The 12520-nt window shown below is 53.1% G+C and overlaps 1 annotated feature.

The window, feature by feature from the left end:
- Window positions 7128-7629: an enhancer, noted in NCBI's record as "H3K4me1 hESC enhancer chr9:138255629-138256130 (GRCh37/hg19 assembly coordinates)". NCBI's record gives its function as "activates a minimal SCP1, AML or CMV promoter by ChIP-STARR-seq in primed H9 embryonic stem cells {active_cell/tissue: H9 hESC(primed)}" and the evidence as "EXISTENCE:reporter gene assay evidence [ECO:0000049][PMID:30033119]".

The following is a 12520-nucleotide window of genomic DNA, read 5'->3' on the forward strand; positions in this document are numbered from 1 at the left end:
TCCTGTGTGGCAGGTGGGGACCTGGATGCTGGCAGGTGGGGAGGGTCTGGGCCTGCAGGTGGGAAGGGAAGGAAGGATGGGGCCCATCCCCTCGCTGGGAATTCCCTGGAGATGCTCCTTCTTCGGGGAGAGGGTCATAGGCAAGAAGCGCCCTAGGAGATGGCCTGTAAGGACTGAGGAAGGCAACGGGACCGACAGTGCAGCTGACCTGGGAGAAGCCTGCAGCAGCCAAGGCCTCAGCTGGTCACATGGGGTTGGGGAGGTGTCTGGAGCTGAGATGGGGCCCCTCAGAGTTGTCCTGAACTGTCCTGAACAAGGGGGCCGGGCCTTTGCACCCCTGCATCAGCCAGTGGTTGGCTCAGCCTGTCCCATCCCAGCCCAGCCCTGCCCGGGGAGGGACCTAGCCCAGGGCCCAGGGTGGCTGCCAAGAGCAGACCCTGCCAGCAGCTGAGGCTGGGTCATCAGGCTAGAGGGGGATATAGTGGACCCCCAGAGCATCACAGCAGAGCCCTGAAGGGCTCAGAGCCAGCCAGGGACAGGGGCGGCCTCTATCTGCCCAGAGAAAGCCAAGGGATCCAGGCAAGACCCCCCAGAGCTCCCATCTGCTAAGAGACATGAGACAAGCCACTTCTGGTTCCCAGTGCCCTGAGAGAGCCTTCCCCATGGGCCCTCGTGGTTGTGGCTGCTGCACCCACAGGGTCCTGCATGGGCTTTGGTGCCTCCTTCCTCGGGGGCCGGGAGCTGTGGAGGAATGTGATGCAGGTGCCATGGGAGGAGCCTGGGAGACCCTCGCCCACTCCCCCACAGCAGGCAGCCACTGAGAGGAGTCCCTTGGCCTCTGCACTCCTTCCCGGCTCACAGCCCCACACAGGCACCAGGACATGTTTTCATAGGCCAAAGGTGGTACAGCAGCCTGAGGCAGCCCCCTGGGCCAGAACTTTGCTTTTTTTTTTTTTTTTTTTTTTTTGGAGACACAGTTTCACTCTGTCGCTCAGGCTTGAGTGTAGTGGTGCGATCTCGGCCCCTCCACTTCCTGGGTTCAAGCGATTCTCGTGTCTCACCCTCCTGAGTAGCTACAATTACAGACACGTGTCACCGCGCCCAGCTAAGTTTTGTATTATTAATAAAGATGGGGTTTTGCCATGTTAGCCAGGTTGGTCTCGAACTCCTGGCCTCATGTGATCCACCCACCTCGGCCTCCCAATGTGCTAGGATTACAGGAGTGAGCCACCATGCCCGGCCACTTCGCATTTTTAAAAGTAGTGCTTTTTCTCTTTATGAACATATTAGAGCTCACTGGGGGGAACCCAAACACGTCCATCCCCTCACTTCCCGTCACTTCCTGGACGTCCTCCATTCGTTTCATCCAGGAAGTGAAGCCTCTCCAAATCCCCCACCCAGAGAAAAGTTGTGGAAGCCTTGAGGCCCTCCCTCCCCGGCCTGCAGATTGTGTTACACAGTCAGAGCGCTGTGCTTGTGTGGATGGGATTTTTCATGCTGGCCTGAGTCTGCTTGTTTCACTCAGCAATATGCTGTCCATGGATGCAGATGTGCGTTTGGCCTTTCCTTCACCATTACGATTGTCAAAATGTTGTGCCGAAGCCTCTGTGCCTCGGGACAGGTCCTCTCCCCCACCGCAGCAGGAGGACCCAGCCAGGCCGGCAGAGCAGACAGGAGCCTCCACATGAGTGCTTCAACCCCACCAAGCCTAGGAGGTGGGGCTGCCGGGGGCTCTGCCGAGTTGACAGCATCGAGGACATCCGCTAAGCAAGAAAGCTCTCGGGAGCCTTCGATGGTGGGAGGGAGATCGGAGCCCAGGAACTGGAGACGGCCCAGCTGCCGTAACTTCTTGCCTCAATCAATAGCTATTTCTCCGCTCCAAATTACTTTCTTTTCCCCCAGAAACCATCAGAGGCACCTGCTGCCAATCAGCTATGACACTTTAAAGAAATGCTGTTGAAATTCCCAGACCCGGGAGGGTTGTCTGGGTCCGCTGTTTGTTCACATGTCTCCGACAATGCCAACAGAGATAGGAAGAGACAGGAGAGTGGGGCTAATGGGCTGCACTCAGCAGCTGGGCCCCGGCCACAGAGGGGCTGCCACAGGGTATGCGGGGCTACGGGGTCCCTGGAGGGGTCTCCACACGGTGGGGGAAACGCGGCCTGACTTGCTTTGGCACTGACCTTGGCCATCCCTTTGTGGACCCAACATAACTGGCCCCCAACCATGTTCGAGCCCTGTACCAGGTACAGGTCCGCAGAGGCAAAAGGGACAAGCGTCCTGCGCACTGGGAACAGGTCAGGGGAGGAGAAGGGGACAGGAGGCCACACAGAAGCAACTCATGGGGGCTAAAATAAAACACAGACGTTCCTCGACTTAAGACAGGTGCACACCCCAATAACCCCGTCATTAATTGAAAATACCCTAAGTCAAAATGCACCTCACCCACTGGGCACCCTGGCTCAGCCTCGCCTGCCTTAAACGTGCTCAGAACACGTACCTTACCCTACAGCTGGGCAACATCATCGGACACAAAGCCTCTTGTATAATAAAGTGTTGAATATCTCATATAGTATATTGAATACTGTACTGATAGTGAAAACTGGAATGGTTGTAGGGGAAGTGCTATTTCCACTGGACATGCATCCCTTTGGCATCATCGTAAAGTCAAAAAGTTGTAAGTGGAACCATCATAAGCCAGGTACTGTCTGTAAAACCATGCTAGGCACAGGGTGCTCACGGGCCACGGGGAGGCCGCCAGCTGCAGGGACACCGGGATCTCTAGTCCTCTGAGAGGGATGAGGAGCCTCAGGCAGGGTTTTCCTGGAAGTATGTTCCACCTGTTCCCAACTATAGAAGGTTAAACGGTGGCCCCAGACAGACAGGGCCATGTTCTAACCCCTGGAACTTGTGAATGGGACCTTATGGGAAAAGGGGTTTTTGCAAATGTAATAAATTAAGGATCTTTAGATGAGATCGCCCTGAATTACCTGGTTGGGCCCTAAATCCGATGACAAGTGTCCTCATAAGAGGCACACAGAGGAGAGACACTGGGAGAAGACAGAGGCCCTGTGAAGACAGAGGCAGAGCCTGGAGTGATGCGGCCACAACCCAAGGAGTGTCTGGGGCCACCCGGAGCTGGAAGCGGCAGGAAGATCCTCGCCCAGAGCCTCCCGAGGGGGTGTGGCCCTGTGACACCTGGATTCTACTGGGCCCCAGAACTGAAAGGGAATCAACTCCTGTTGCTTTAGGCCACTCAGTCTGTAGTATTTGGCCACGCAGCCCCAAGACACTCCTCCACCAGCCACAGGAAGTTGGGGAGGCAGGCAGTTAGGGTGTGGCTGAGCTGTGAGACCTGGTTTCAAATCTTGGCTCTGCAACTTACTCACTGTGCTCCTGGGCAAATTACTTCACCTCCCTGAGCCTCAGTTTCTACATCTTAAAATGAGAACAGCACTAGAATCTTCTGGGGGTCAGGGTGATCATATGAGATGACAGGTAGGTGGGGGGTTCACTGTTCCCAGGCCCTCTCCACAGAGCTTCCATCCACCTCCCATGGTGTCAGGTAGGGAGTGGCGGGGGTTGCTTTTCCCAGGCCCTACTCCACAAAGGTTCCATCCACACCCCACGGCCTCAGGTAGGTGGGGAGGAGGCACCTTTCCCAGGCCCCCTCCACAGAGCTTCCATCCACGCCCCATGGTGTCACCTGTACCTAACAGCACCAAAGGCTCCCAGGGATCCATAAAAATGAGTTTTGGGTGATTAAGGAAGCGAGCGTAATTCTCGCCCATACCAGAAGGAAGCAGAGCCATGTGAGGACACACCCAGCCTTCCAGAATGCCACTGAGGAGAGAGACACAGCTCCCAAGCCACCTCTCAGAGCACCCAGGGGAGCGTGAGACTGGCGAGAAGGCAGGGCTGGCCTGCCACACGGAAGCCCCCGACCTGGCCTCCTGGGAGAGAAGGTGGACGGGTGTTACCGGAGGAGCAGCCCCTGCTGGGCTCTGCTGAGCCCATAACCAGCATGTCACCTAGGCAGGGCAGGCCAAGTCCCTAAGCCTTTGCACAGCTTTTTTTTTTTTAAGTTTTGAAATTACAACCGCTAACTCTGATCTCTGAGCTTGGAAAGATGAATGTCCAAAGACAAGGCTGCAGGCCCTGCAGAGTGTCCCTCCCCGTGAACTGTCCACCCAGCAGCTCAGTCACACACTGACTCTACATCTGTGACTCTCAGCCTCCCTTCACCACCACAAAGGTGCTCTCTTGGAAGCTCAGAAAGAAAATTCAGGGAGGGGCAGGATCATGTTTGGCCGGATTAGCTCTGCAATACGGCGGCCAGGCACTCTTCCCACCCCCAGTCAGCCAGGGTTCCCACTCCTCACTCTCACAGCTCAGGGGCCATCATTCGTGGCAGCCGTAGTAACAATAGTAGTGATGATAATACTTGTAGGAATAGAAAAACACTTACTGAACATGCTTCTGAGAATTTCACACTCATGAACACATTGACACCTAACAATAGGTATATAAGTTCAGCACTATTGCTATTCCCAGTCTATAGGTGAGCAAACTAGAGGACAAATAAGCCTGTAACTTGCTCAAAGTCAGGACCCAGGATGCCTTCTAGGCTTTCTGGGTCTGTATCCTGTTGACACTTCCCATAGTCTGTGTTACAGCTGGATTTATACAGTAGTCAAAGCAATGCCTCTCACCCCACCAGACTCTAGGCAGAGTCTTGTTTGGTTGTGCTGGCTTCTCTGTCTCCTGGCATGTAATAGCTACTCAATTAGTGCTTGAGGAATGAATAAGTGGGTGGGTGGGTGGGTGGATGGATGGATGGATGGATGGATGGGTGGATGGAAGAAAAGAAGGAAAAAAGATGAATGGATGGGTGGATGGATGGATGGAAGAAAAGAAAAGAAGGAAGAAAGATGGATCGACAGGTGGATGGATGTATGGAAGGATGGGTGGATGGGTTGGTGTGTGAATGAATGGATGAGTGGGTGGAAGGGTAGATAGATGGGTGAGTGGATTGAAGGAAGGAAAGAAAAGAAGGAAGGAAGATAGATGGATGGATGAGTGGGTGGGTGGGTGGGTGGATATGTGAATGGATGGATGGATAGAAGGAAGGAAAGAAAAGAAGAAAGGAAGATGGATGGATGGGTGGATGTGTGGGTGAGTGGATGAATGGGTTGATGGGTAGGTGGGTGGGTGAATGGATGGAAGAGTGGGTGGGTAGGTGGATGAGTGAATGAATAGTGGGCAAATGGGTAGATGGATAGATGGATGAGTGGGTGGATGGGTGGATAGGTGAATGGATGGGTGGATGGATGGATGACTGGGTGGATGGGTGGATAGATGAATGTGTGGATGGATGAATGGGTGGATGGGTGGATGGCTGGATGGGTGGATGGATGGGTAGATGGATGAATGGATGGATGAATGGATGGATGAGTGGGTGGATGGGTGGATAGGTGAATGGATGGGTGGATGGATGGATGACTGGGTGGATGGGTGGATAGATGAATGTGTGGATGGATGAATGGGTGGATGGGTGGATGGCTGGATGGGTGGATGGATGGGTAGATGGATGAATGGATGGATGAATGGATGGATGAGTGGGTGGATGGGTAGATAGGTGAATGGATGGGTGGATGGATGGATGAGTGGGTGGATGGATGGATGAGTGGGTGGATGGGTGGATGATGCATGTGGAGTGGGTAGATGGGGGATAAATGCCTAAAGCAAAGGTGCTGATTGTCAGGGCACACACTAACACCAGAAGAGTGAAGAGAACCAAGGCTGGAGTTTGAGGTCCTGGCCTCCATCCAGTCCCTCACATCCTGTTGGGGTTCACTGCTGGGCCCACACACTATCTTTTGAGGTGTCCCTGGGCTCCAGGATCAAGCCTATGAGTCAGAGGTCTGGGTTCTCAATTCTCTCCTCATACACACCTGCATGTGCAGAGTGCAGTTTGCAGAGCATGTTTGTGTGTGCTCTTTCACTGTAGCCCCCTAGACCCCTAGATCAGCTCCTGAGCAACACTCATCAGGGAGCATCAGCCATGGCTCTCAGGGGAGAGGCTCCCCTTCCCAGGATCCCACAGGCAGTAAACAGTGGGGCTGAGAACTAAACAGACTCTCTTCCCCCAAGGGCAGGGCTCTTTCACCGACCATGAAGTGGCACAGAGGGAAGAACATGGAGCCACGAAAATGTGGATTTGATTCTCGTCCTCACCAACCACCAGCTGGGTAACCTTGGACAAGCCACTCTTCACAAAGTGTGATATAGTTTATCTGTGTCCCCACCCAAATCTCATTTTGAATTGTAGCTCCCATAATTCCCATGTGTTGTGGGAGAGACCCAGTGGGAGATCATTGAATCATGGGGGTGGGTTTTTTCCATGCTGTTCTCATGATAGTGAATAAGTCTCACAAGATCTGATGGTTTTATAAAGGGCAGTTCCCCTGCACACGCTCTCTTGCCTGCCGCCATGTAAGATGTGCCTCTGCTTCTCCTTTGCCTTTGGCAATGATTGTGAGGCTTCCCCAACCATGTGGAACTATGTGTCCATTAAACCTCTTTTTCTTTATAAATTACTCAGTCTCAGGTATGTCTTATTAGCAGCATGAGAACAGACTAATACAAAGTGTAAAGAATGATGCTGACTTGCAGGGTCCTTGGAAGGACAGGTGTGAGTGCAAGGACAACATCAGCACCTTCTGGGGTCTTAATCATTGTCAACAGTGTTACAGAATCCTGAGATCCTGCTTCATGCATTGCCATGTTCCACAGAGGCCCACGGCTTGTTCCAGGAAGCATCACACCTTGGTGGCTCAGGGCGTGGATCCCGGTTTGCAAACAGGACATGGATGGACAGATCAGTCACCAAGAGGCACAAGAGCCACCTCTGAGGCTCACCAGGCCATGATCCTGGCCAGGGGATCCACAGCCACAGCCAGAAGGCTCATCGCTCAGGTGTCTGCGAGGTGCCTGACCACACTCCCTCATTAGTGCAGCTTCTGGGTGGATGCGTGCAGCCCACAGCCTGCCAGGCATGGGCCAGCTGTGCCACATAGCAACAATGACGGTGCAAGTTCCCTGTGCTTGAGCCCGCAGGCCTCCCTCTTTCTTTTCCAAGTGGATACACATCCCTAGGGGCCAGGAGATGCTCCCTGGCTGCAGCTGCCACAGCCTCACCCAAATGTAATTAAGAGAAGGAATATGATAATGACCTTCTAATTGCCAAGAGGCTCTTGTGGGCAGTGCCTGCTCTCTCCTGCTAATTGGAGGGAGCCGCTGCCAGACACTCGAAGTCAAGACTGCCTCCATGCTGGTCCCTGGCAGCCCTGGCCGTCACTCACCTCCAGCTTCCTCCAGCAGGACTTTGGAGCGGATGAGAAGACATCCCCCAGATGCCCTCCAAGTGAGCAAAACAGGACATCAGGGATTCCGGGGTGAATGAGATGCTTGAGTTATCCTATTTCAAATTCAGTCCAAGTACCAGCTACTTCCAGGAGGCAGTGCAGACTGCACACCCAGCCCTGGGCATCGAGCCATTGACCCCGCAGAGCCTCAGTGTTCTCACCTATAAAATGGAGAAAATCTTCCCTGCCTCCCTGGAAACGGCAAGAACAAGAGGAGGCAATAAGCTGAGCGCTCAGCGAGTGCTCAGGGAAGGTTGTTCTTTCCCCTCCCGACACTTCTGGTTTTTACAGAAAAAAATGGGAGGAAGGGAGGGGTCCAAGGCACATGGCAGGTGGGGTGGGGGAGCTAGCGTTGGAACACCTGCCAGGGGCTGATGAGGGCTGTGGTGAGGCTGACACCCTGGGCCCCCCACACAGCCACACTCAGGACAGGCCTGAGCCCAGCCCTCCACGGCCCATGAATGTCTGGAGCAGGAGACTCCAGCTGGGCTGAGAACCACACTGTTTGAACTGGGTGTTCTTAACCTTAAAAAAGAACTTAAAAATAAATGAAAATGGCCAGGCACAGTGACTCATGCCTGTAATCCTAGCACTTTGGGAGGCTGAGGCAGGTGGATCGCTTGAGCTCAGGAGTTTGAGACTTGCCTAGGCAACATGATGAAACCCTGTTTGTATTCAAAACACAAAAATTAGATGGGCGTGGTGGCACACGGCTACAGTCCCAGCTACTTGGGAGGCTGAGGCAGGAGGATCACTTGAACCCAGGAGGCTTAGGCTGCAGTGAGCTAAGATGGCACCACTGCACACCAGTCTGGGTGACAAAGCAAGACCCTGTCAAAAAAAAAGAAAGAAAGAAAGAAGAAAGAAAAAGAAAAAGAAAGAAAGAAAGAAAGAAAGAAAGAAAGAAAGAAAGAAAGAAAGAAGGAAAGAAAGAAAGAGAAAGAGAAAGAGAAACAAAAAAAGGTGTAGGAATTAAAGCCTGGAGGATCCCAGTGGAGCCGGAGTGCCTGAACCCAGGCAGGTGCTCAGAGCTGAATGCCCAGTGGCCCTCAGCAGTGGGGCTCCAGGCTGCTGCAGCTGAACAGGCTCTCAGAAAGCATTTCTCCTCCCTCCAACTCCCAGAAGCCAAACATCTGTGTGGCCTCGGCTCCAGGGTTTCCAGAGGCCTAAGCCTGGGTCTCCACCCCTGAATAAAGCAGGTTTCTGACTCCTCTGAGCGTGCTCAGCTCTGACCAGCTCCAGCTTACAGGGGCTTCTCGCTGCCCGCCAGCTCCTTGGCTCATGCCTCAGACCCTCCCTGGGGCCACAGCTGAGCCCCCATGCCCTCCCGTTAGCAGGAATTGTCTCACAGTGCACCAGCCTCAGACAAGGCCACACTGGGACAGTGAAGGGAGGGACAGAACTCAGCCAGCCCAGAATGTCATCTGAGCACAGGCAAAAGCCAGGTCTCTGGGCCCATCAGAAAAGCTTCAAACCCCCCTCTCCTGGCTGGTCTGAGCCCTGCTGCCTCTTTACGGGTCACGGCTGCAGCCTCACCCTCGTCCCCTCTCCCTGCAGATAAGGTTTATTGAGATGCTTGGCCACGGGGTCAGCCTGCATCCTGACAGTACCAACCCAGAGCAAACCCCACTTTCTCAAATGCCCCCAAAAGTCACTCAACACAAGCCACATCCTATTACAAGCCCTTTCTAACCCCCTCTTGGAGAGGCCCTGTGGGTCCCCAGGGTATGCGTAGCCTGTTGCTGCCATGAGCGATAAACCGACTTGTTCTGGCACAGGTTGTCCCTGGTGGTCCTTGGCGAGAGGACATGGGCAGCACCTTCTCACACGAGCCCTTGCTGGCGTCTCTTCCAGGAATGCCCCAAACGCTCCCTGGGTGCCCCTTCCTTCACCCAGACTCACGGCTGATTCTTCCCTCTCCTGCAAACCTCCACAAGGATGGCCCTCCTCCAGGAAGCCTTCCCAAGCCTCCAGACTGGCTTCACTGTCCACATCTGTGCCCGCCCCCACGCCCCTCTGGTCTCCCCAGTGCTTGGGGCTGGCCCCCACAACATGAAACACACAAGGAAAGTTGGGGAGTGGCCTAGTCTTCAGCCTGTCCTGACCCCAAAAGCCAGCTTCATCAGCATATGAGTCTGTCCACCCCACTGAGCCCCCTGCCTGGATGGCAGCAGAAACAAAGAAAAGGTGGAATGAAAGCATTTGATGTGTGTGCATCCCTGCCCCCAACACTGTGAGGATGCTGAGGAGGGCAAGGGATGGAGCTGAGTTCCCGGACAATCCTCTTGGGGGGCCAGAGGCCTCTTGAGAGGCAGACACCAGACACCCTGCAGCAAGTACGTCCACATGGAAAGCTCCAGAAAGAAGAGAGGTTCCAGGATCCGATTTCCAGACCCTTCAGAGAATCCTCTGGACCTGGGCTTATTTTGACAATGAGAGTCTTTTGAAAACAGTTTTTGTCAAAACCAGGGGGCATTTCTTCCAAGAAGGAAAGAAGCCAGAGGGTGGCATTCAGGCAGCAGGAGGGCGGTTTGCATGGTCCTTGCGGTGGGAGGATGACCCCCTGCTGAAGGCCAGTCCACTGAGCTGGCACCTGCAGAGGGGGGCCTGGAGTGTTCACAGGCGAGCAGCCTCCAGCCAGGGCTGTAGGAGGGCAGGAAGACCTGGAGTGCATTGAGGGCCATCAATGGTCAGTCTGACCTTGACCTCTGTGCTGATGACCTCCATCTCGCTCAGGCCAAGGCCTCTTCAGAACCACACCTTCGCTGGAAACCTCCCAAGGCCACTGCCTGAGGACAGCGGGGAAGGCCATCTGATGCCCGAGGTATCTGGCCACACCCCTGCCCCGCTCCCCCTTACCGTGGTGCCCAGCAGAGGACTCCTCTGCACCCCAAGCTTGGCTGGTGGCACCAGTGGGCACAAAAGCTACTCCATCCAGGACCTTTTGTGTTTCAGAAGAGGGCCCAGCCCTGAATATCCACATGAGAAACAACGACTCCAGACACAGACCTCACATCCTTCACAAAAATTACCTCAAAATGGATCATCCACCTGAACGCAAAACATGGAACTAGAAGATAACTGAGGAAAAAATAAACGGGGGCCCTTGGGTTTGGCGATGACTTCTTAGATACAACACCAAAGGCACCATCCATGAAAGAAAAAATGGATCTGCTGGACTTCATTAAAAGTGAAACTTCTGGCGGGGCACCGTGGCTCATGCCTGTAATCCCAGCGCTTTGGGAGTCCAAGGCAGGTGGATCACTTGAGCTCAGGTCAAGGCTACAGCAAGCCACGATCACATCACTGCACTCCAGCCTGGGTCACAGGGCAAGACGCCTTCTTTAAAAGAAAAATTTGGGGACTGGGTGCGGTGGCTCACTCCTGTAATCCCAGCACTTTGGGAGGCCAAGGCGGGTGGATCACCTGAGGTCAGGAGTTCGAGACCAGCCTGGGCAACATGGCAAAACCCCATCTCTACTATAAATACAAAAAATCAGCCAGGTGTGGTGGCAGGTGTCTGTAATTTCAGCTACTTGGGAGGCTGAGGAGTGAGAATCGCTTGACCCTGGGAAGCAGAGGTTGCAGTGAGGTGAGATTGCACCACTGCACTCCAGCCTGGGTGACAGAGTGAGACTCTGTCTCAAAAAATAAAATAAAAATAAAACTTCTGCTCTAAGAAAGAATTGTAAGAGAATGAAAAGACGGGCCGGGCGCGGCGGCTCACGCCTATAATCCCAGTGCTTTGGGAGGCCGAGGCGGGCGGATCACAAGATCAGGAGATCAAGACCAGCCTGGCTAACACAGTGAAACCCCATCTCTACTAAAAAAAAAAAAAATACAAAAAAAATTAGCCGGGTGTGGTAGTGGGTGCCTGTAGTCTCAGCTACTCGGGAGGCTGAGGCAGGAGAATGGCATGAACCCAGGAGGCAGAGTTTGCAGTGAGCCTGAGATCGCACCACTGCACCCCAGCCTGGGGGACAGAGGGAGACTCCGTCTCAAAAAAATAATAATAAATTTTAAAAACTGGACAAAACGTGGTACATCCATTCAATGGAATTTCGTTCAGCCCTGAAAAGAAGTGTACTATCAAGCCACGAAAAAGACATGGAGGAAACGTCACCGCATATCGTAAGCGAAGGGAAGCCGGTGTGGAAAGACCACATGCTGTACGACATGACATTCTGGAAAAGGCCACACTGCAGACACAGTGAAAACATCCCTGGCTGCCAGGAGTTGGAGCAGGAGGGACGAATAGGAACCCGACCCAATTGTCTCAGACTTTTTTTTTTTTTTTTGATAAACATAGAAATTGACCCTTCTGGTCTTAAAGCTTAAAACTTACATTCATTTTATTTGAGTTCCTTCTTCAGGAAAGAACCCCCAGACCTCTCAAAAAGTATCAAAGAACTGAAACTCACCAGGTAACCACCTCCAGACAATGAGACCAGACCCCTTATTCATTCTGATTGCTTCTTTCCCTTTCTGAGTTCCTGTTGTCCTATACACGGTTACGTTTCTTCCTTGCTAGATAAACCCCTAGTTTTAGTCAGTCAGGGAGATGGATTTGAGACAGAGCTCCCCTCTCCTCGGCTGCAACACCCAGTTACAGCTTTCTTCCTCAGCAATACTTGTCATCTCAGTGATTGGCTTTCTGTGCAGAGAGCCGCAGGATCTAGATGTTTCCGTAACAGATATATGGGGCACGGAGGATTCTTAGGGCAGTGTTTCCGTAACAGATATATGGGGCACGGAGGATTCTTAGGGCAGTGAAACAATTCTGTATGATGCAAAAACGGTGGGGACAAGTCATTATACATTTGTCCAAACCCACAGAATGTACGACACCAGGAGTGAATTCCATTCAATTCCACTTAATTTTTCTGGAAACCCAAAACTGCTTTTTTTTTTTTTTTTTTTTTTTTTTTTTTTGGAGACAGAGTCTCACTCTGTCACCCAGGCTGGAGTACAGTGGCACGATCTTGGCTCACTGCTGCAACCTCTGACTTCCAGGTTCAGGTGATTCTCCTGCTTCCACCACCAGAGTCCTGCCTCCACCACCAGAGTAGCTGGGATTACAGGTATGCGTCTCC

The sequence above is a fragment of the Homo sapiens genome, chromosome 9 (genome assembly GCF_000001405.40).
Source record: "Homo sapiens chromosome 9, GRCh38.p14 Primary Assembly".
NCBI lineage: Eukaryota > Metazoa > Chordata > Mammalia > Primates > Hominidae > Homo > Homo sapiens.